The sequence below is a fragment of the Homo sapiens genome, chromosome 6, assembly GCF_000001405.40.
Source record: "Homo sapiens chromosome 6, GRCh38.p14 Primary Assembly".
NCBI classification, from domain to species: Eukaryota; Metazoa; Chordata; class Mammalia; order Primates; family Hominidae; genus Homo; species Homo sapiens.
Genome location: NC_000006.12, coordinates 138,637,538 through 138,661,221, shown reverse-complemented (window position 1 = coordinate 138,661,221; position 23,684 = coordinate 138,637,538). Strand labels below are relative to the sequence as shown.

General features: G+C 39.2%; 1 protein-coding gene and 1 pseudogene across 5 annotated transcripts in view; both read left to right on the top strand.

The window, feature by feature from the left end:
* NHSL1 (NHS like 1) overlaps nt 1-23,684 on the top strand; it is a 271,170-nt gene that overhangs the window by 31,991 nt on the left and 215,495 nt on the right. Inside the window, exon 1 of one of the 5 annotated variants that reach the window (XM_047419119.1) lies at nt 22,459-22,666. The exons of the other annotated variants lie outside the window; for them this stretch is intronic. The gene's annotated coding sequence lies outside the window, so the exon portion shown is untranslated. Of the gene's footprint in view, nt 1-22,458; nt 22,667-23,684 lie in introns of those variants that run through there. 5 annotated transcript variants of the gene reach the window in all.
* Nucleotides 10,247-11,750, top strand: MTCH1P1 (MTCH1 pseudogene 1; annotated as a pseudogene).

Genomic DNA, 23,684 nt, shown 5'->3' with positions numbered 1-23,684 from the left:
TCTGGGGGATCTAACATACAGCCTGGTAACTATACATGATAATGTATGAAATTTGTTAAGAGAATACATCTGAAGTGTTTCCACCATACACATACATAAAAAAAGTAACTATGGGAGGTGTTGGATATGCTAATTAGCTTGATTGTGATAATCTTCTCAGAATGTATATCAAATCATGTATGAATCTTCTTTAAAGAAGCCATAATATAGTATATAAGACCAAAGGACTAGCCCCAGTCCCAACTGGGACTACAGGCGTGCGCCACCACGCCCAGCTAATTTTTGTAGTTTTAGTAGAGACCAGGTTTCACCATGTTGGCCAGGCTGATCTCGAACTCCTGACCTCATGGTCCACCAGCCTCAGCCTCCCAAAGTGCTGGGATTACAGGCATGAGCCATCGTGCCCAGCCAATTTTTTTTTTTTTTTTTGTAGAGACAGGGTTTCACCATGTTGCCCAGGCTGGTCTCAAACTCCTGGGCTCAAGTGATCCACCTGCCTGGGCCTCCCAAAATGCTGGGATTATAGGTGTGAGCCACCATGCCCAGCCTGGTGGTGGTATTTTTTTTTTCTTTTTTTTTTTGAGACGGAGTCTTGCTCTGTTGCCCAGGTTGGAGTGCAGTGGCGCGATCTCGGCTCACTGCAAGCTCCACCTCCCGGGTTCATGCCATTCTCCTGCCTCAGCCTTGGTGGTGGTATTTCTTATCTCTCTTTACTGCTGTTAAATTAAGGAGGTATAGGGGATGGAATAAATATTGCTTTCTGTGTCTTTGGTCAGGGTCTATATTTTTCTCTCCGAGATTTCAAGGGTGGAGTACTTTTATTATATAAATGGTTCTATGTAATCAGGTCTGAGTTTGATTCCTTAAATATTCAGGTGGAAGTACTGAGACACATGTCAACCTTAGATTCAAGTAATAGATCCCACACCTTAGATGTTTCAACACAGCTCAGTTAAGTAGAGGAAGTATACAAAATGAATAAAGGATTTAAAAGCAGTGCTGATACTGGGTATGCTACTGAGAAAAGGAACTACGTAGGTGTATTTCCTCCTGCTAGCTGTAGTTAAAACTGCTAGGTTAAGCCACTGGAGCTCATGGGTCTTCAGAGATGCAGTGTTTTGAATCAGCCACGGAGTAAGAGGAATGTGAGGTGTTATTTGAAGAAAGGACATCATACAGGTGTTTTAGAAAAGATGTTGTAGGAATGGCCAGGCATGGTGGCTCACGCCTGTAATCCCAGTATGTTGGGAGGCCAAGGCAGGTGGATTATTTGAGGTCAGGAGTTTGAGACCAGCCTGGCCAACAGGGTGAAACCCCATCTCTACCAAAAAATACAAAAATTAGTCAGTTGTGATGGTGCATGCCTGTAATCCCAATTACTCAGGAGGCTGAAGTGAGATTTGCTTGAACCTGGGAGGCAGAGGTTGCAGTGAGCTGAGATCGCTCTACTGTACTCCAGCCTGGATGACAGAGTGAGACTCCATCTCAAAAAAAAAAAAACAAAAAAAAAACGTGGTAGGAAAAATAACTCTTAATTAGCTCATTATGTTAGTTGCTAGACTTAGATTATATTCAATTAATGTAATAAGCAAAACGTCATGAAGTATTTTTACCACTGGGTATTTTTATAATTCCTGTGCTCTTCCATCCCCAAAGAGTCAACTATTAGGTGTTAGAGCATCATTCTTTCAACCCCAGATGCTAACTTGGCAGGAGGTGCCCACCGTTTTCTTGGCTATTCTTTGGTTTGGGAGAAATATTAATTCTCCTTCACAGCTGCCATTCAGAAATATCTTAAATTTCAAAATATGTTCAGTAGTAGCCAAGAGGAGCGTGAGGGTGATTTTTACAAACATTAAGAATTACAGTCTAGGCTGGGCACCATGGCTCACACCTGTAATGCCACCACTTTGGGAGGCCGAGGCAGGCGGATCACCTGAGGTCAGGAGTTCGAGACCAGCCTGGCCAACATGGTGAAACCCCGTCTTTACTAAAAATACAAAAATTAGCCGGATGTGGTGGTGGGTGCCTGTAATCCCAGCGTCTCAGGAGGCTAAGGCAGGAGAATCACTTGAACTCGGAAAGTGGAGGTTGCAGTGAGCCAAGATCTTGCCACTACACTCCAGCCTGGGTGACAGAGCGAGACTCTGTCTCAAAAAAAAAAAAAAAAAAAAAGATAGTCCACATCTCAAGCATGTTATACATAGTGACTTCCTTATTCCCTTGCCCTTTGTCAGTATATGTCAATGTTTGGTTGGTGTCCAGCCCTGTCTTAGTGTGAGTACAGGTCACTTTACCAGGCTGTGGACATAATAGGTATGGGGGAAACGGGTACAACTATACATTTAAAAGAAACAAAACGTAAGAAAAGTCCATCTCCTTCCTACTAGCTCCAAGAAATTCCTTTGGTCATCAGAGTGGATTTTGTTAACTTATTTACAATTCCTTTAATCTCAATTTAAAATTAGAAGGATTTCGATGGTCTTATTTATGGACCCAGCAATCCCACTACTGGGTATATATCCAAAGGAAATGAAAAAAATCACCACATCAAAGAGATACCTGCACTCCCATGTTCATTACAGCATTATTTGCAATACCAAGATATGGAAACAACCTTTGTCTTTCAGTGGATGCACGGATAAAGAAAATGTGGTGTTTATTTACAATGGAATATTATCCAGCCTTAAAAATAAGGAAAGCTCACTATTTGCTACGATATGGATGAGCTTGGAGAGGATGTTATGCAAAGTGAAATCAGCTAGACATAGAGTCAAATACTGCGTGATATCACTTATAAGTGGAATTTTTAAAAAGTTGAACTTCTACAGAGTACAATGGTGTTACCAGGAGCTGGAGTGGGAGGTAGGAGAAACAGGAGATGTTGGTCAAAGGGTATACAGTTTCAGTTATGCAGGAGGAATACATTCTGGGGGATCTAACATATAGCCTGGTAACTATATATGATAATGTATGAAATTTGTTAAGAGAATCATCTCAGAATGTATATCAAATCGTGTTGTACACCTTAAATATATACAATTTTTATTTGTCAATTATACCTCAGTAAAGCTGAGGGCAGAGGAGGAGGTGGAGAGTTAGAGAGACTCCTATAGCCTCATTTATGGACCATAATAGAACTCAGTAACAGCTAGAGACTTCATTTTCGGGAGATGGCTGTAGATAGCAAAAGATTTCTGCCAAGATAGTTTTACAATTTCCTCATCACTAGTTTTATTATTTTATTCTTTCGTAAACTAAGAAATATGTTCAGTTTTTTCTTTTAATATTTTTAAATATTAAATCTTATATTTAATTATATCTTAAAACTTTTTTTGGCAGTTGTTTTCTCATTGAAATTATTTATAGACTCTTTTTTTCTTTCTTTTTTTTTTTTTTTTTTTTTTGAGATGGAGTCTCGCTCTGTCGCCCAGGCTGGAGTGCAGTGGCGCGATCTCGGCTCACTGCAAGCTCTGCCTCCCGGGTTCACACCATTCTCCTGCCTCTGCCTCCCGAGTAGCTGGGACCACAGGCGCCCGCCACCAAGCCCGGCTAATTTTTTTGGTATTTTTAGTAGAGACGGGGTTTCACCGTGTTAGCCAGGATGGTCTCGATCTCCTGACCTCGTGATCCGCCTGCCTCGGCCTCCCAAAGTGCTGGGATTACAGGCATGAGCCACCGCGCCCAGCCTAGACTCTTTTTTCTTACCTATATTTAGTTCATTTTTCAAATAGTTCAGGGATATTGTAGAAGCACCCAACTTCCAGACAGAAATTGAAGAAATGTTTCATACAGACAAGGTGAATCAGCCCTAGTGTTGCTTCCCTCTCTTTACTATGTTAACAAGTGTAATAAAAGGTAAATCTATGAGAAATGAAATATAAATGTTTTCATGTTTGATCATTCTTACTATTTAAAAGAAAAAGCATTGGCTTTAGGGCTGACAGCCTGCCAGGATCTGTGGATCTTCCAAAATAGGAGGAGCCAGGTCCTGAATGACATTGTTGAGCAGCTGCACTAATCCTGGATGGATGGACTGACTGCAGACTGGACGTTCTGTTACATGAGGAAAAAAAATGTCTGTTTACCCCAATGCAGGGGTTTTTTTTTTGTTGCAGGTGAAAGCATTCCTAATGATACGTTATCTATGGGGAAAAATTAGCACCACACTTTTCATTGATCTTGTTACTGAGACTTGAAGGGCATCTAGAATATTATGGGGAAATGGAAGCTCTGATCTAGATAATAAATCCACATATGAATGAGAAGGGAGAAACCAAAGTTGCGTATGTGTAATGAGGTGATAGACACAGGCACACTGAGGATTTGCATCTGCAGTTGACCCCTAAATAAAATTGACATTCCATCTCCAGGCTTGGATATACTTAGGCTTCCCTTTTTTGGCAGCTTCTTTTGAAGCTGAACGCTTTTTTGGATCACATCAATAGCACATCCTAATTAGCCAGCTAGGAAAACATTATTAAGAAACCCGAGGCAGGTTCTCAGCACCACAAATTATCCTACGAGGACAACCACAAAGAAAACTTATGTTTCCTTACACACCATGTTTTAATTACTCATTTCCATGTTTATCAGCTGCAGTAATCCAATCTCATTTATAGAAGATTTAAACCTGATGTATTATCGCTTGAATCTGTCTTCACTATCCTCCACCCTGTAAAATACACATGCACATTTCAGCTCACAGGTGCTGATCTTCTGCAGTTTGAACTGGATTTCCATGCTGACTGTACTCATGCATAATTGGGCAAATCACACAAATGCATTGCTCTGAGAGGGCCGCATGATTTACAGCCAAAACAACATCTTAGGAAGTTTCCCATACCGAGGCACCTGAAAAATCAACACAGATTTTGTTCTGTTGAAAAACCAGATTTTATAAAATTGGAGTTAATGCATTTTTAATTCTTATTTTATTGAGCTTTTCTGTAATTTTGTAAAAGAAACTCGTAAGTTTTCAGAAAAGTTTTATAAGCAAATTATCAGAGGTCTTGGGTGACATTAGAAACACAGTGCCAAAGATTCATGTTTGTAAAGATACCAGAAGAAGTCATTCCTTTCATCGAGGACCGGTGCTTAAGCATTTTAGATCCACAGTTTGTGTCTTTGTCACATGGGTTTCTCCTCAGAGTCACGAGTTGCCTGCGGCATGTCCAGGACCCATTGAAGGCAGAAAGAAGAGGAAAGAGGGAGGGCTTTCTCTGACTGAGGTTTTTTGGGGGAGGTAAGCTCTTTCTGGTGACTTCTGCTTTCATCACATCGGAACTGTGTATGTCAACTTCCAGCTGCCTTGGTGGGGGTCTTGTGTTTTTATCAGGGCACACGGCTGCCCTAGAGAGTAATTGGTGTTGTATTAATACAAAAAGAGAGGGCAATGGGTACTGGATTGGCACAACAGTATATGCCATGTTATGCTTTTATTATTTTGTTGATTTTATTTGGATATAATCCTTTTGAAATAATTGCTCCCATCAAAGTGGTAGTACTTCATGTGGCTTTGCTGAAATTTTTTTTTAGTTTCAAAGTTATGAAAATAAACTTAATACTCATTGTATTAGCAAGTAAAGGACAATTGTAATTTTGTTTTCAACTATTGCTGTTGAATGTGATCCATTTTTCTCTGACTCATCTTAGTGTTGTAAACTAGTTAAAAGTCATGCCAAGTTAGGTGTCTATTTCACGGATTTTTAAAACATCATTCCACAGCTTCTTATGAAGCAGCTACTTTTCTAGGGAGAATGGACAGCAAGAGATCAGTGGATGGGAATGATAAGAAATATCCTCTGACCTCAAAGAGCTTCTAATCTGCTGGGTCAAGCGGGAGAGCGGTTGGTAACTATAGTGAAAGGAAGCATGAAACACAAGCTGGATATGGAGGTTAAAGGAAACATTTCTACAAGTCCTGCGGGAAGAGGGTGACAGGACATAAAACAGAGGTAGTGTTATTGTTTAATTTCCATATTTTTAATTGTATTTTTATGAAACTCAATTAGTGTATTACAGAACTTGTCACTTTAGTGAGGAAGGAAAAGGGACTTTATGAGTCAAGGATGTCATTAGAACATGTTAATTCCTCTTAGTTTCTTTCCCTCCTTGTTTTAGAGCTCTGCCAACTCCCAGTGCTTCAAATAGCCACTTTCAGTGGGTGAATATGTTATGGATTTTAGTTTCCCCAAATAAAATATTGTAACCTAATCAAATTATCCACCAGTATGGAAATAAATTCTTAAAAATCAAAGCTTATAGAGCAGACACTGTCAACCTCTTTTCACACATCCTCTGACTCATATCATTCATGTGCACACCCCTTAGAGCGTGGGTGGTTTCTTTTCACATAATTAGAATCATACTGTATGTATTGTTCTGCAACTGGCTTTTCCCCACCTCGTAACAGCTTTTAAAAATTCTTTTCTCCTCAGTATACATGGAATAGTGTTTTTTTTGTTTTGTTTTGTTTTGTTTTTCAGTCAAGGCTGGTACCACCCTTACCTGGGGATTTAAAAAACAAAATATGTGGGAGCATTTTATGGAGGAATCGTTGGCCCAGAATACTAATAGCATCTCATTGAGAAACAATGATATGTGTACTGAAAAGAAATTGAATTTGTCACATAAAAAAAAAGAATGATATGGAAATACCTGCTGTTCTTAGTATTTCTTTAAAAAAATTAAAATAATTTAAAAAATATGATTGTACCTTAAGTATTTTCTTATCAATGGCCAGTGTCTTTACACATCTATTGGTTTGCATGTACAAGAACATAGCACAAACTAGAAGAATTGCTGGGTCAAAGGATATGCATGTTCAAAATTTAATGATGCTCTCGAATCACTCTCCAAAAAGGCTGTACAAAATTGCAGTCCTAATAACAGCATACACATTTTCCCACATCCTTTTCAACACTTGATAGTATCAGTTAATTTTTTTTGCAAGCATATTAAGAAAAAATAAAGTCTTGTTTAAATTTCCATTTTCCTGTCCAAAAAAAGTCTGCAACAGAGTACTTTCAGTTTAATGATAAATGACTAATTTACTCTTAGATATGCAGTTAGTGCTCGTCTGCTCTGGATTCTCTGCTGCCTATTTCATGTTTCAAAAACAGACTCATTTACAAATCAGTCACCTCTTTGGAGTGTCTTTTTAGTCCCATCTGCACAGGGTGTCACACTGATCCTCATTGGCAGGAGTAAATTTTATGAAGAACTATGAATTGGTATTTGCATAGAGGGAGCTGTATTTTCCAAACTGTGGTTGCTACTGCATCACTGGGTTGGTGAAATCAAATTAGGGACAATGAGCAATGTAAACAAAGAAATAGAATATAAAATATTGGAGCGTATCATACAGTAAGGGTAAGACATGTTTCGTGAAACATTTCATATGTATTTGTGTTTTGAATATGGGTTTCTGTGTACATATATATGCATATATCATATGTATACTGCGTGGTGATGTGAAATATCTCTGAGCTATGGAATGCTGGTATGGAGAATCTCAGCTTTAAACATTTATTCAAGGCACAGTTTATTTCTGCCCTGCCTGAGGCAACAGTTTCATACTTGATTGTGGCATTTCACAAAATAAGTTGCCAATCATAACAATACTTTGTGAAAGGTTAAAGACTAAGGCTTTTTTTTTTGAGACGGAGTCTTGCTCTGTTGCCAGGCTGGAGTGTGGTGGTGCGATCTTGGCATCTCAGCTCACTGCAATCTCCGCCTCCTGGGTTCAAGTGATTCTCCTGCCTCAGCCTCCCGCATATCTGGGATTACAGGCACATGCCACTACGCCTGGCTAGTTTTTGTATTTTTAGTAGAGACGGGGTTTCACCTTGTTGGCCAGGATGGTCTTGATCCCTTGACCTCGTGATCCACCCTCCTCGGCCTCCCAAAGTGCTGAGATTACAGGCTTGAGCCACCGTGCCTGGCCAAGACTAAGGCTTTTTAAGAGGAACTTAAATGCTTAGAAATACATGTCACCTAGTTAGACCTGGAAATATAATAGGTGTGGAAAGTCAAATTGTCTTGAGTGCAGAATGAAGAAATGAAGTTTTACACCCTACTAAATTTAATTTCACTGAGCAATTTAATTTTTCCTTGCTCCAGTGCAGTTACTGAACTTGACTCTGTGGTAGCTGTTTAGCTCTGCAGGCAAGAGAATGCAGAGGAAATCCTTGAATTTCAACAGCCTCTCCCTGTGAGTGGGCACAAGTGCAACTGATTATCCAAAAGTAGTTGCTTAAACTAATTTAGACTATTTAGCTAACCTCAATCCCAGTGCCGATCTTATGTTGCTTAGAAAATTACCTGTTGGTGATTATAATAAATGGAGGTAATTAAAATTTTAAAAAGTGATGGAACATTCTGCATGTGGGTGTATTTAATTATCTGGCAGGTGTTCATATTTCTACAGTGTGAAACTTGTGCATAAACAATAGCCTTTCTGTTAGAAATTCTGTTCACACTTTTGTGTTTCTCCCCTTTTAGAGGTAGGTATTTTCAATTGCTTGGAGAATAACAGTGATGATCTAACTAATTTGTTTTGCAGTGTGTGTTTCCTAAGTGGTTATATATTTTTTTGCTTGTTTTACTTCAACTGATTCTAACTTTTCTTACTTGAATTACTCTTATTCAGTAATTGCATCTTCATAAAAAATGATATGAATGGAAACATGATTTTCTAGATTTTAAAGTAATTTTAGAAAAATTGGGCTTTTAAAGTTCTGTGATATAGCCATACCTTAATTTTTTTTTTTTTTTTTTGAGATAGAGTTTCACTCTTGTTGCCCAGGCTGGAGTGTAATGGCGCGATCTCAGCTCACCGCAACCTCTGCCTCCGGGTTCAAGTGATTCTCCTGCTTCAACCTCCCGAGTAGCTGGGATTACAGGCATGAGCCGCCACGCCTGGCTAATTTTGTATTTTTAGTAGAGTTGGGGTTTCTCCATGTTGGTCAGGCTGGTCTCGAACTCCTGACCTCAGGTGATCTGCCCACCTCAGCCTCCCACAGTGCTGGGATTACAGGCATGAACCACTGCACCTGGCCAGCCATACCTTAATTTAAATTTTATAAGGTATTACTGATACATTTTAGCAAAGGTAAACACAAAATAATAAATATTATTTCATCTAGCAAAGAAGATGAAGTGAAAGTTCTTTAAGGACTATCAACCAGAACATAAAATTATTGAATACTAATGTTCTGATACAGTTTCATGGTCTATATTGTTAATAAGAAATAGAAGCAGTATTAACATTGAGTATACTTATTGTGTTACTTTAAATTTAGGTAAAATTATTTAACCCCAAAAAAGTGTGAAATAATTTTATACATATTCAGTCTAATCATATCTTTGTGATGGTATTTTCTATTGATCTCATTTATGTTTGGTCATAATCTGATACCTATTGTGATTTCCAGTGGGCACCTCCTGTCAATGTAACTTTGCTCATGTAAGCGCCTTGAGCTCTTTGCTGGTGGTGAGTGTGATGACTGACATTTCTGTCCTGTAGCTTCTGGAATGTTGTCAGACAGGAGATCCTTCACATGAGTATATGGATAGTATATATGCTCCGGATCCATGTTATTACCCTTATTCCCTTCCTCTTGGAAAACATTCCTTTCCGTTCACCTTCCGTCTAAAGAAGCTGCTGCTACATCTGGAAAGAGGAGACAAGGTTAGGGTTAGGTGATTTCTGAGTGAGCATTGAAGTTTCGTTGTTTCTACAACTATTCTATTTTGTTAACGTGTGTCATAACTTAAAATGATGTAAATGCTAATTAAACCAATTGGCTTGATGAAAGAAGCTTGCATATTACAAAAAGAAAGTCTTATTAGTAGATGTTTAGAAATACAAAGGAAAACTGTCATACCACAGTTTGTGCTCCAAAATTTATTTTGTGAGTTTCTTTGAATAGAATTCTTTGTGTTCCTTAACGTTTTTGCTTTTCCTAAGATTTGACCTCTCCAAATTTAAATAATAAATGGAAAAAGCTTGTCAACATTTAGGTTAAACTGAAGAAATACCAATAAAGGTCAGTTGTAATACATATGCTTTTTTTCTTTGAAAAATATTAGATATTACATTAAGTTGGTTGGCATGTGTAGCTATTAAAGCTTAACAGATGAGTTTTATGGCATGTTATCAAAATACGAGGTAATTTAGAAGAACTTTGTTACGATGAGATCGAACTTGCTTTAATTAAGGAAGACCCAAACACAAAGCCTTATGTGCTGGGGAGGAAGGTCCTCTATCTGCCAAGCTTCTTCACCTATGCCAAATACATTGTGCAAGTGGATGGTAAGATAGGGCTGTTCCAAGGCCCGAGGCCCCAGCTGATGTCCAACGCCCTCTTCACTGTGACCTGGGTAGCATGAAGAAGGCTTTCCCTGTAGATGAGATCTAGCAGGTTTCCAACAAGGGTGATATGAAGACTTCCCTGAAGAAAGTTGTGAAGGAGACCTCCTATGGGATAATGATGCAGTGCGTGTCCCGCATGTTGACCCACCCCCTGCATGTCATCTCAATGTGCTGGATGGTCCAGTTTGTGGGATGGGAAGCCAAGGATAGTGGCGTGCTGAGCTCCATTGGGAAGCTTTTCAAAGAGGAAGGGCTGCTGGAATTTGTTGGATTAATCCCTCACCTCCTGGGTGATGTGGTTTTCTTGTGAGGCTGTAACCTACTGGCCTACTTCATCAGTGCCTACCTGGTGGATGACAGCCTCCACCAGGCCCTGGCCATCCGGAGCCACACCAAATGCTTGACAGGGATTGCAGTGAGCATGCTGACCTACCCCTTCCTGCTAGTCGGCGACCTCATGGCTGTGAACAACTGTGGGCTGCAGGCTGGGCTCCCCCGTTACTCCCCGGTGTTCAAATCCTGGATTCACTGCTGGAAGTACCTGAGTATGTAGGGCCAGCTCTTCCAAGGCTCCAGCCTGCTTTTCCACTGGGTGTCATCAGGATCATCTTTCACCCTGGAGTAACCTGAATCATCTAAAAAACACAGTCTTAACCTGGCCACCATGAGTGAGGCCTGACCATCTCGGGATACCTGCAAGATGACTCCAACCCAACAACAACCAGATGTGCTCCCGCCCAGCCGGGCTTCAGTTTCCATATTTGCCATGTGTCTATCCAGATGTGGAGTTGGGTGGAGGTGAGGCTGCACCCAGTGGATTGGGTCACCTGCCAGACCTGGGAAAGGTTGGGAGAAATGGGGAGTTGGCAGAATCCCCATACCTCCTGGATTTGTTGAGTCTGTCTTGTGCAGAGGGCTGGAGAATGGCTCGTGGGGGCCCAGGTTGGATGGGGAAAGGATAATGGGGTCAGAACCCACCCTATCTACCCCTCCAGTCAGCCCAGAGCCCATCCTGTAGGTCAGCTGGGAGCATCATTCTCCTTCTTCGTAAATAGGGCGTGATCCCCTGGCACACGGCCACCATCATGTCTAGGCCTATGCTGGTAGGCAAATGCTAGGCTCTGCCTGCGTTTTTCTCAACACTACTCTTTTTATATGAGGGCAGCACCTTCCTCTGAATGGGAAATCATGTGACTACTCAGAATGTGTCCTCCTCATCTAATGCTCATCTGTTTAATGGCGATGCCTCACATATAGGATCTGGTTACCTGTGCAGTTGTGAATACCCAGAGGTTGGGCAGATCAGCGTCTCTAGTCCTGTCCAGTTCATAGTAAGATTTGACCCCATCTCCTGCAAATAAATGTATTGATGGTGGAAAAAAGAAAAAAAAAATAGAATTCCCTGGTTTTTTTTTTTGGATGGCTTTATAGAAGGAAATAAGGATATATATTATATATAGGTCCAATTTAAGGAAGATCCATAGAGTATCAAGTTTCAGAATGGCTTCATTGACTTGAGGAAGTAAAGCTATTAAATACAAAGGGTATACGGAATGAGAGTATTCTCTGCCTTTCCTAGTGAGAGACGACTGACTAGATGAAGTGTATAGAGCTGACACCCTCCCAGGCTAGTGGACTGTGAGAGGTTCTGGATGAAAGGTTAAAAGATTGCTTGTTCTTGTCTTTCCACTGATTCTGCTGGTTAGCCTGACACTCACCCTAATGGTGGATGAAGTGTAGCGTATACACTTTCCTGTAATAAACCTGGTGTATCATTTCCCTTGTTCAGCTTCTTGAAGATTATGTGTTGCATAATAACTAAGCCTCTATATACACCTCCTTCTTAATTTTACCAATAAACAAGTTACATTAAAAAGGTATATGAAGGACTACATTTTTATACTAATGCTGTTCAGATATGCTATTTTATAGTTGACTATATTCATTCCTCACCCCCAATCTACTACTCATCTATTGCCTTGCTTTCAAATATTTTCCCAGAAGTTAAAAAAAAAAATTCTTGCCTCTTCTATGCTCTTAGCCCCCAGGAATACAGTATAAGTTCTGAAGATGGAATATAAATTGCTCTTATGATCTGTTACAGTGAGGGCTCCAAGAAAACGACTGCTTTCAGTATTTACACCATTGGGTAGGCCCTTCTTTCTGTGTGTGGCATAAGTCTGAGACTTTAACTGATAAAATCAGCAGAATCGATACTGTGCAAGTTCCAGGCCTAAGCTTTGAGAAGTCCCAGCAATTATATCTAAGAAGTCCAGTTATTTTAGTGGGAGGTCACATGAATGGAGAGAGGCCCTAGGACTACATGCTGGGAGAGACGGAGGCTTGGCCATCCAAGTATCCTACCTGGTCTCGGTCAGCTAAATGCAGCCTTATATGATGGCTGGGGAGGTGAGCAGAAGAACTGTTCAGCTAAGCCTTGCCTAGATTGCAGAATCTTGAGCAAAACAATCCATTGTTTTTTTTTTTTTTTCAGTGTCCGTAAAGTTTTATTAAAACATAGCCATGATCATTCATTTATGATTGTCTATAGCTGTTTTCATTTTTTTAAGCCATTAAGTTTTAGAGTGGTTAGTTATGCAGCAGTAGATAAGTGAAAACACTCCTACATTGATGTTTATTGATAGATGCATTTTAATAACTGCTTAGCAACTGTGTGTGTGTGTACGGTCTGGAAAAGTAAAATATATATTTTGCTAATCAGCTATAAAAATAGGTTCATCAGTGTATTATGTGCTATTTACTAATATAGTTACACCAAGAGGGAAGGAAACAATGAAATTGAAGAGATTTGAATGTCACGCAGCGCTGTTATAATTAAATGCAAGCTTCCATACCATAACTCATTAAAAGTAGTGGTGACTTTGAAAAATTTGGCAACAATTTAAACTGCAAAGTTGAAAGAGAAATGTGTGTAAGAAAATTAGACACCGGTGCAGTGGCTCACGCCTTGTAATCCCAGCATTTTGGGAGGCCGAGGCAGGTGGATCACTTGAGGTCAGGAGTTTGAGACCAGCCTTGCCAACATGGTGAAACCCTGTCTCTAGTGAAAATACTAAAATTAGCCGGGCATGGCGCGCATCTGTAATCCCAGCTACTCGGGAGGCGGAGGCAGGAGAATCACTTGAACCCTGAGGTGGAGGTTGCAGTGAGGCGAGATTATGCCACTGCACTCCAGCCTGGGCACAGAGCGAGTCTCCATCTCAAAAAAAAAAAAAAAAAAGTGAGAAATATTTTTTGATGGGATCAATTTTTTAAGTTCTTTTTCCTCACAAAATTGTTTTCAATTGACATTTCAAGCAAAATGCCTCTGTAGGTTGACTGATTACAAATGTTTTCACTCAAGCACACCGGCTTCTAAATCTGTCTGTAAGCTGCTTTCTTAAAAAAGTGAATAAGCTTAGGAAATAATTATTCCTCAAAGTACACAAAACTCCCGAGCAAGCTTTTGTTTTGTAGACAGATCTGATTCATCAAGAAACATCAAGATAATTGTCACGATTTAAAATTTTGAACGGAACCCAGGAGTCTTGGCTTAAGTATAAAACTTTCTGTTGCTTTCTTGGCATGATGCCTCCAGTTGAATATTTTGTGCTGTACGTTGCTCCATTTTTTTGTTTTGTTTTGTATTTTCGCCCCCAGGACAGGAAACTACAGAACAAAATATATTCATTTTGGTAACCAATGCTGGTCCTTTGGTGATTCACTGTTTTTGGGAGATTAGTACAGAAAGGAGAAGCTGAGAGTTGGATGTTGTGTCCTAGTGGATGCAAATGATGACCAAGATTTTACTCTCCATCACGGATGTTTGTAAAACTGGGAATCACAATTTTGACACATGAAGAACAACATTCACATTAAAGTACTCATGTCTCATAATTCATTTATTTCAGGCAGTAGTGTGTGCCATTTTAATTAAAATTCTTAATGGGCTCAAACAGTTCTTATTTGAATACACCAGTGTTTCCTCCTTGGGACTGTGTGATTGTGTAAAAGTAGAGAAATGTTTTCTTACCAGGTTGTAAGCTGCAGGAGAGCAGAGTCACGTTTCATTTGCTCATGACTGTAAACCCAGAATGGAGGACAGACCCTCACATTTGTAAGTACACACTCAATTTTTTCTTGAATTAATGAATTTAGCTTTTTAATCAGTTTACCCCTCACCCCTTACCCTCAGGAGTTGCTGATTTAGGTAGAACTTCAACAATTCCAGATTGGCAGATTATATTGAGGGAGTTGTGTATTCCTACTTTTTCCTCCATGGATAGTCACTGATTTATTCTACCACATTTCCATGAAGTATTGATAAGAATTTTTTTTTTTTTCCTCGAGACAGTGTCTTGCTCTGCCGCTCAGGCAGGAGTGCTGTGGTGCAATCTGCAGGGGCTTATGCAACCTCTGCCTCCCAGGCTCATATGATCCTCCCACCTCAGCCTCCCAAGTGGCTGGTTGATAAGAATTTTTAATTCAATTACCTGTATATGCTGAGTCTTTTCAATATATTATTTCTAATCCTTACAACAGGTTCTTTGGAGTTAGGGGTTAAAAATATTGGTGTATTTAATTTTCTTGTAATTCCGTATTGAAAACCTATAACAAGGGATTTATGTGGTATGTAACAAGGGATTTGTGTGGTATGTTGAGAATGTTAAGATGTTTCTGGAATTACTGAGTTGGAAGATGCTTGAGTAAGAAAGATGCATTGGAAAGGCTATTGTATTCCTATAATTAGATGACAAGAGGAAATTGTAGGTTCTTGAGAACTTGTACTAAGATTCTATGGTAACTGCTTGTATTTAAGTTTTTCTCCCACCTGAAAGAGTATAAAGAAATGTTGGCTCTAGGTTTATCTTTTTGCTGATTATATCATACACTCATTCATTTAAAACATTTTTAACAGTATACATTGAGCACTTATTTTCTGCCAGACACCTTTTAAATTCTTCAGGTTCTTCAGTGAACAAAAAGACCAAAATTCCTGCTCTGGTGATGTTTGTGGAGGCAGAGAAAAAACACTACAGGCCAGGTGGGGTGGCTCACGCCTGTAATCCCAGCACTTTGGGAGGCTGAGGTGAGTAGATCACAAGGTCAGGAAATCAAGAGTATCGTGGCCAACATGGTGAAACCCCATCTCTACTAAAAATACAAAAATTAGCTGGGCATGGTGGTGCACACCTGTAGTCCCAGCTACTCGGAAGGCTGAGGCAGGAGAATTGCTTGAACCTAGGAGGTGGGGGCTGCAATGAGCTGAGATCACACTGCTGCACTCCAGCCTGGGCAACAGAGCAAGACTCTGTCCCAAAAAAAAAAAAAAAGAAAAAAGAAAAACACTACAATAACAAAAAGTCAATATTATAGTACGTTATAAGGTGATTAGTGCTATAGAACAAATAAAACAGGCTAATGGACATCCAGGAGAGAGAGAGAGGGTTACAATTTTCAGTAGGCCGGGTAGGCCTCATTAAGGTGACTTTTGAGCAAAGATGGGAGAGGAGCCGGAGAACCTTTGTGGTTGAGGGAAAGGCCAGAGTGCTGAGTGCCCGGGGCCCTGTTGCATTGGAGGAATGCATTGACGTTTCAGTGTGGTCCACATTGCTGTCAGATCATGCTGGTGTTTATGGACCTTATTGAAAATGATTATCATATATAACTCTATTATCCTGTCATCAAATCATACAATAACACTAAACAGAAACATCATTAGAACAGAACCACATAGTAAGATGTGACCTGGAAACACTTATTTTGTCTTTTATGGTTTTAAAGGTTTACACACATCATGCTGTGCCTCAGTGACAGATGACTCTTGTTCCAGAATTCCTGGTCAGGCCCCAGAGGCCTTTTAGATGTTTAGGTTTCAAAATTATTGACTCTGTATTCAAGGTCAGAGACCATATAAATCAGCTGTAGGATAAAGGAGTTGAAGTATGTAAAATTCCTTAAATCTGTGCCTATAGATAGTAAGTATTCTACCAATATTAATTGACTCTAGAACAAACATTTTAAGTTAGTAGATACATTTAAAATATGTACCCGTGTAAAAACACATAAACTAAGTTGAAACTTTTATTAAGAAATAATAATTTATCGTTTGTCTCCTTCATTTTGTTTCTTATCACCCTATTTCCTTATCTCTCAGTCCCTGCTCCTTTTAAGTAAAAACCAGATTTTCAGGTAATAACAGTATTAATAACACAGCAATGCCTGTGTCTCTTTTTTGAAAAGGTGGTTTTATTTGTATGTTTTATGTTTTTAAACTTTTCAATACAGATGACTTTTTCAACTATGTGATACTTCAGAAGAAATTGCTTTTTTTTGTTGTTGAGATGGAATCTCGCTCTGTTGCCCAGGCTAGAGTGCAGTGGCACAGTCTCGGCTCGCTGCAACCTCTGCCTCTCGAGTTCAAGTGATTCTCCTGCCTCAGCCTCCTGAGTAGTTGGGATTATAGGCATATGCACCACCACGCTTGGCTAATTTTTGTATTTTTAGTAGACACCAGGTTTCACCATGTTGGTCAGACTGGTCTCGAACTCCTGACCTCGTGACCGACCTTCCTCAGCCTCCCAAAGTGCTGGGATTACAGGTGTGAGCCACCGCACCTGGCCAGAAATTGCTTCTTATTGAATATTATAATTTGAAAATAAGTGTTTTTGAGAATTGTTTTGCAGTCTTGTTCAATGATTTCCTTTTTAAATGACTAATTGTATAAATTTGAGAAGTAAGTTTTGTTTGTAATAAAAAGATACAATTCTCAAATAACCGAAACACTTTTCTGAATCCCAAGATAGAGGCACTTGAGCTGCTTAGCTTTTTTTTTTTTTTTTAATCTTAGATGGAATCTTGCTCTGTTGCCCGGGTGGAGTGCAGTGGCACAGTCTGGGCTCACAGCAGCCTCCGCCTCCTGGGTTCAAGCAATTCTCCTACCTCAGCCTCCTGGGTAGCTAGGATTACAGGCACCCGTCACCATGCCCAGCTAACTTTTGTCTTTTTAGTAGAGATGGGTTTCACCATGTTGGCTAGGCTGGTCTCAAACTCTTGACCTCAAGTGATGGACCTGCCTCAGCCTGCCTAAGTGCTGGGATTACAGGCATGAGCCACCAAGCTGCTTAACTTTTATTGAAAGTGTAAATCCTCCAATTCTGTTAAAATAGTACCTAATTATATCCTAATTTTGATGACTGAGATATATTTATTAAAAGCATACTATTTGTCAGAGGTTCTAAGTGCTAATTCAGGTATGTTTCCATCTTATGCAACACATATAGTATGGGATAAATATTGGCTCTGCTAGTTTTAAAGGTGTACCCTTCTTCAGGTTGATCATTTTTGTTAGACTGAGTTTAATAGTGGATACACATTATTATGTATTTGTCCAGACACATAAAATGTCAACACCAAGAGTGAACCCTAATGTGAACTATGGACTCTGGGTGATAATGACGGGTCAATGTTGGTTCATCAGTTGTAACAAATGCACCACCCCATGGAGGATGTGGATAAAGGAGGAGGCTGTGCAGGTGTGGAAGTAGGGAGGTTGGGATCTGTATCTCCCTCAATTTTACTGTGAACCTAAAACTGCTCTAAAAAAAATAAAGTCTTAGAAAAGGAACTAACGATACCTACAGAATTGTGAGGAGGAAAGATGATGTTGGCAGAAGGCCTAGCACAGTGTTTGACACATAGTAAGCCCTCAGTAAATGGTAGCTGCTGCTAAAAAATATCATCTCACTATCTATCGTATTGGCTTGATCTGTTTTCTTTAAAACATCTTTAAGATGTCTTCTACCTGCTGTTTTAAGCTCATGGTAGGGATAGGTAAGCTTAAAACACCAGCCTTTTGAAAATAACCACTTGTGTTTGATGAGGACGTTTATGAAGCAGATCCAATATTTAAAGGAATCTTAGAGTGAAATACTTTGGGAATGGTTACCCTTTAATTATGGTGTCTTTCTTTGAACTCTCAAGCTTCCTTTGTATGATTTTCTCCCCCCAGCGACCCACCGCCCTTATCTGCATGTGCCTACATCACTGTCTGAACCTTCTTTTGGCTCTCCCTACTAATTACCACCTCCCTCTGCTGCTCGCCCTCTTCACTGCTGTTCTAGTCTTTACATTGTTGACAGACCTGATTCTCTAAAACATCCTTCCACTCTTATTTTCTTAAAATTTACATTGGCTTAAAAAAAACTGAAACAAACAAAAAAGCCAAGTCTGAACTCCTTTGCCTAAACTTCATGGTTCACGACAATCTGGAATAATCATATTTTTTTCTTTATTCAGTTTGACTTTCCATGATTTCTAAACCATTTAGTGGAGACACACATCAACCAACACTGTACATTTCACATGCATTCCTTGAAGCTTTTTTGCCCATGTCATTCTTTCCTCTTAGATGGTTCTTCATCTTCTCTGCCTTAAGTCAACATTTTATAAGGCTGTATTCAAGTTCTATGTTCTCTTCAAAGTCTTTTCCTGACTCATCCAGGTTTTGGTATTTTTTTGCATGTGTGTATAAAATTGCAAATTAATTAGAGAATGTATACAGCCTGAAGTGCTCATTTTAATCTAACACTTGAGGAGAAATATAAATTAAAAATTTTAATTTTTAATTTTTGTGGGTAGAGAAATACAAATTCTTGTAGAATTAGGTATTCTATAACAGAGTCTGGCCAAGTATTGACAACTCAAAAATTTAAGTGATTTGATTCTCTAAACTCTTATTTTTAAAAATTGATTTTTTTTGCATGAATTTGGGAACATAATATGGGTTATAAGAGAAAGTTTAATGAGATGTCACCTGAATTTTTAAAAAGAATTCATTTGTAATAAATGTAACATGATACCTTAAATTTTTTCTTTTTATAGTCTGAAATGATATGTTAGAGAACATGGAAATTTGTTACTTCAGAAAACTTTTTATGTGAGGGAAGCATTGAAATATTTATAGAAATCGAAGAAAATATAGGAGACAGGAGGTGGGGACTGAGAGTGAGGGAATATCTTTTCAGGCAGGAGTAGAAAGGGGCTTCATGTCTTCACAGGCCAGAGGAATTCAGCAAAGAATGAGGGACACTTGATCATTTAAGGGAGGAAGAAAGGTTGGGTGCAGTATTCCTGGGAAGGTAGTGATGGCTTTGGATAGGGCATACTGAAAGCAGAGGAGTTCCCCACTGCCATGATTTTTTTTTTTTTTTTTTTTTTTTGAGACGGAGTCTCACTCTGTCACCCAGGCTGGAGTGCGGTGGCACGATCTCAGCTCACTGCAACCTCTGCCTTCCGGGTTCAAGCGATTCTCCTGCATCAGCCTCCTGAATATTTTTTCTTTATTCAGTTTGACTTTCCATGATTTCTAAACCATTTAGTGGAGACACACACCAACCAACACTGTACGTTTCACATGCATTCCTTGAAGCTTTTTTGCCCGTGCCATTCTTTCCTCTTACATGGTTCTTCATCTTCTCTGCCTTAAGTCAACATTTTATAAGGGTGTATTCACGTTCTGCATTCTCTTCAAAGTCTTTTCCCGACTCATCCAGGTTTTGGTGTTTTCCTCTGTGTATAAAATTGTAAATTAGAGAATGTATACAGCACTAAGTGCTTGTTTTAGTAATCCCATTGAGCTGGGATCCCATTGAACTGGGATTACAGGCACATGCCACCACGCCTGGCTAATTTTTGTATTTTTAATAGAGATGGGGTTTCACCATGTTGGTCAGGCTGGTCTTAAACTCGTGATCTGCCTGCCTCAACTAAGGGGGGCAAGAATCTTCATCAGCTGAGATTGGCTTTGGGGTGGGAGGACTGTTTTGTTTCCCATTAGCTTTTAAATTCTGCTTTTGACCAAGTCTACAATATTTTGGAAACATTATTTTTCAGTTAGAAAACCATTGCCCACTGATGTCAGCAAAGCTGACAATTTGTGTATGTTGAGAGAATTCAGTCTGGTAATGGATCAGCCCATGTGCTTGAATGGATTCAAGATTGAAGGTGGCTTCAGTTTTATCAACCAGTAAATACAGTTGACCCTTGAACAACTGGGGGTGGGGGGTTAGGGGAACCAACCTTGTACATTTGAAAATCTTTGTATAACTTTGACTTTCTGAAAACTTAGCTACTAATGACCTTCTGTTGACCAGAAGCCTTACCAATTACATAGTCAATTGACACGGATTTGCATGTTACATATATACTGTATTCTTACAGTAAGGAAAGCTAGATAAAGGAAAATGTTATTAGGAAAATCATAAAGAAGAGAAAATATATTTACTATTCATTAGTGGAAGTGGATCATCATAAAGCTTTTCATCTTTATCATATTCTGAGGAGGATGAGGAGGAGGAGGGATTGGTCTTGCTGTCTTGGGTGGCAGAGGCCGAAGAAAATCTGCATGTATGTGGGCCCATGTACTTCAAACTTGTGTTGTTCAGGGGTCATTTGTATTTTTTAAATGTCTACTACATGCTAGGGATTTTGATAGGTGCTGTGAAAATGCTGAGAAGTACTAAGAAATTACAGAATAAGTTTGTTTGCCCTAGCCTAAAACTCAGAATAGTTAGGTTCCTTTCACTTTCTAGCTATACCACTTTGTAATGTAAGGGAAGTTTTGCCTTGGGATTTCCCTAACTGTATAATAGAGGGTGCAGACTAGATGGGCACCAAGATGCTATAAGATGGAGAAAAACTAATCCATACTTTTTCTAGACAATATTGACCTATAGATTATTCAGAAGGGGGACATGCTGCAGAAATGTGCAGCGCTTTACCAATTCGCATGTAACACAAAAAGTTCCAAGATAGGCTTGTTTGCAGCTCTCCATGAGATTATAGTCTGTGCAATACGATGATGAGAATTTTGAAATACTGATAGAACTTTATCAGGTATTTATGATAAAATACAGCATTGTGGAGAAAAGCTGCATTTTGTAAAAAAAAAAAAAAAGCTAAAATTTGAAAAATGGTTTGTAAGAATGAGAAGGTTATTTATATACATATACATCAACTTTTTTTTTTTTTTTTTTTTTTTTTTTTGAGACTGAGTCTCACTCTGTCCCCTGGCTAGAGGTGCGACCTTGGCTCACTGCAACCTCTGCCTCCCAGGTTCAAGTGATTCTTCAGCTTCAGCCTCTCAAGTAGCTGGGACTACAAGTGCGTGCCACCACGCCCAGCTAATTTTTTTTTTTTTTTGAGACGGAGTCTCACTCTGTTGCCCAGGCTGGAGTGCAGTGGCCCGATCTCGGCTTACTGCAAGCTCTGCCTCCCAGGTTCATGCCATTCTCCTGCCTCAGCCTCCTGAGTAGCTGGGCTACAGGCGCCCACCACCATGCCCAGCTATTTTTTTTCTTGTATTTTTAGTAGAAGACGGGGTTTCACCGTGCTAGCCAGGATGGTCTCGATCTCCTGACCTCGTGATCCACCTACCTCGGCCGCCCAAAGTGCTGGGATTACAGGCGTGAGCCATTGCGCCCAGCCATACATCAACTTAAAAAAAAAAATCAATGAATAAAAGTTGTTATAGGGGAATTATTTATTTTGTGGCAAATGAAATATACTTTATACCAAATTCTCAAGTTTTTAGATAATGTGTTTTATCTTTAAGATATTTTCAGGGAATATCTATAATTGCTCCCAGGAGTAGATAGAGAAAAGAAGTAATTTGACAGTGCTTCCAGATGGCTCTTAAAAAAATAATACATTCCTTCAAGTTCTTGATTCCTAATACTATGGATTTTGTTGTATCTCCAAACAAATCAAGTAATTCTGATGTAAGTATGAAGCTGCTGTAACCCAGATTTACCTTTATTAAAACAGATGGTACAAAAAAAGAAGAAAAGTATTTTACCATCCCCTTTGGGCACAAAGCTCAAACTTATTTATCCCCATCCAAAGGCAGTTTCTCTCTGGTTTGGCCTGACTTCTGGGAGCCCAGAACTCTTAAAAGATGTTTTCTTGAAAATAGTGAGCTCTTTTCTTGTCTGTCCTAGTATTCTTGGCCGAGTTTCCTGTATTCTGGCTGCTCCTACTCATTAATATGCAGCTTGATCCATAGTGGCTGGGAAGACAGCAGAGGGTTGGAAGTTAGTGCAATGAAAGCTCCTATGCGGGCTTTCTGAGGAAAGATGCAAATGTACCCAGGAATAGTGTACCCAAGTTTCATTTTCTCAGGTCAGTTGAATAATCGAAGCTTTCAACAGATTTAAATAGAAAGTTTCTTTTTTTCTTTTTCTTTTGATGTAGATTCAATTAGGACTTAACTTTCCTACCTCCTTGACAGTAAGTATACTTTTCTTGTTGACAATAAAATGATTAATTAAGTATTGCAGGTATCTTTTTAATTTTTAATTTTTGTGGGTGCATAGTAAGTGTATATGTTTATGAGGTACATGAGATGTTTTGATACAGGCATGCTATGCATAATAATCACATCATAGAAAATGAGCTATCCATCCATTCCTCAAGCATTTATTCTTTGTGTTACAAACAATCCAATTATACTCTTTTAGTTTAAAATGTACAATTATTGACTATAGTCACTCTGTTGTGCTGTCAAATACTATGTCTTATTCTTTCTATTTTTTTATACCTATTAACCATCACCCACCCACCCCACTGCCCTTCCCAGCTTCTGGTAACCATCCTACTCTTCTATCTTCGTGAATTCAATTGTTTTAATTTTTAGATCCCATAAATAAGTGAGAACATGTTATGTTTGTCTTTCTGTGCCTGGCTTATTTCACTTAACATAATGACCTCTAGTTCCATCCATGTTGTTGTAAATGACAGGATCTAATTCTTTTTAATGGCTGAATAGTACTCCATTGTGTATAAGTACTACATTTTAAAAATCCATTCATTTGTGGTTGCTTCCAAATCTTGGCTACTATGGACAGTGCTGCAACAAATATGGCAGATATCTCTTTGACAAACAGATTTTCCTTTATTTTGGGTATATACCTAGTAGTAGGATTGCTGGATAATATTGTAGTTCTATTTTTAGATTTTTGAGGAACCTCCAAACTGCTCTTCATAGTGGTTGTACTAATTTACATTCCTACTAACTGTACGAGGGTTCCCTTTTCTCCCCATCCTCTGCAGCATTTGTTATTGCCTGTCTTTTGGAAATAAGCCATCTTAACTGGGGTGAGATGATATCTCATTGTAGTATTGATTGGTGTTCTCTGATGATCAGTGATGTTGAGCACCTTTTCATATGCCTGTTAGCCATTTGCATGTCTTGTTTTGAGAAATCTTTTGCCCATTTTTTAATCGGATTAGATTTTTTGCTGATAGA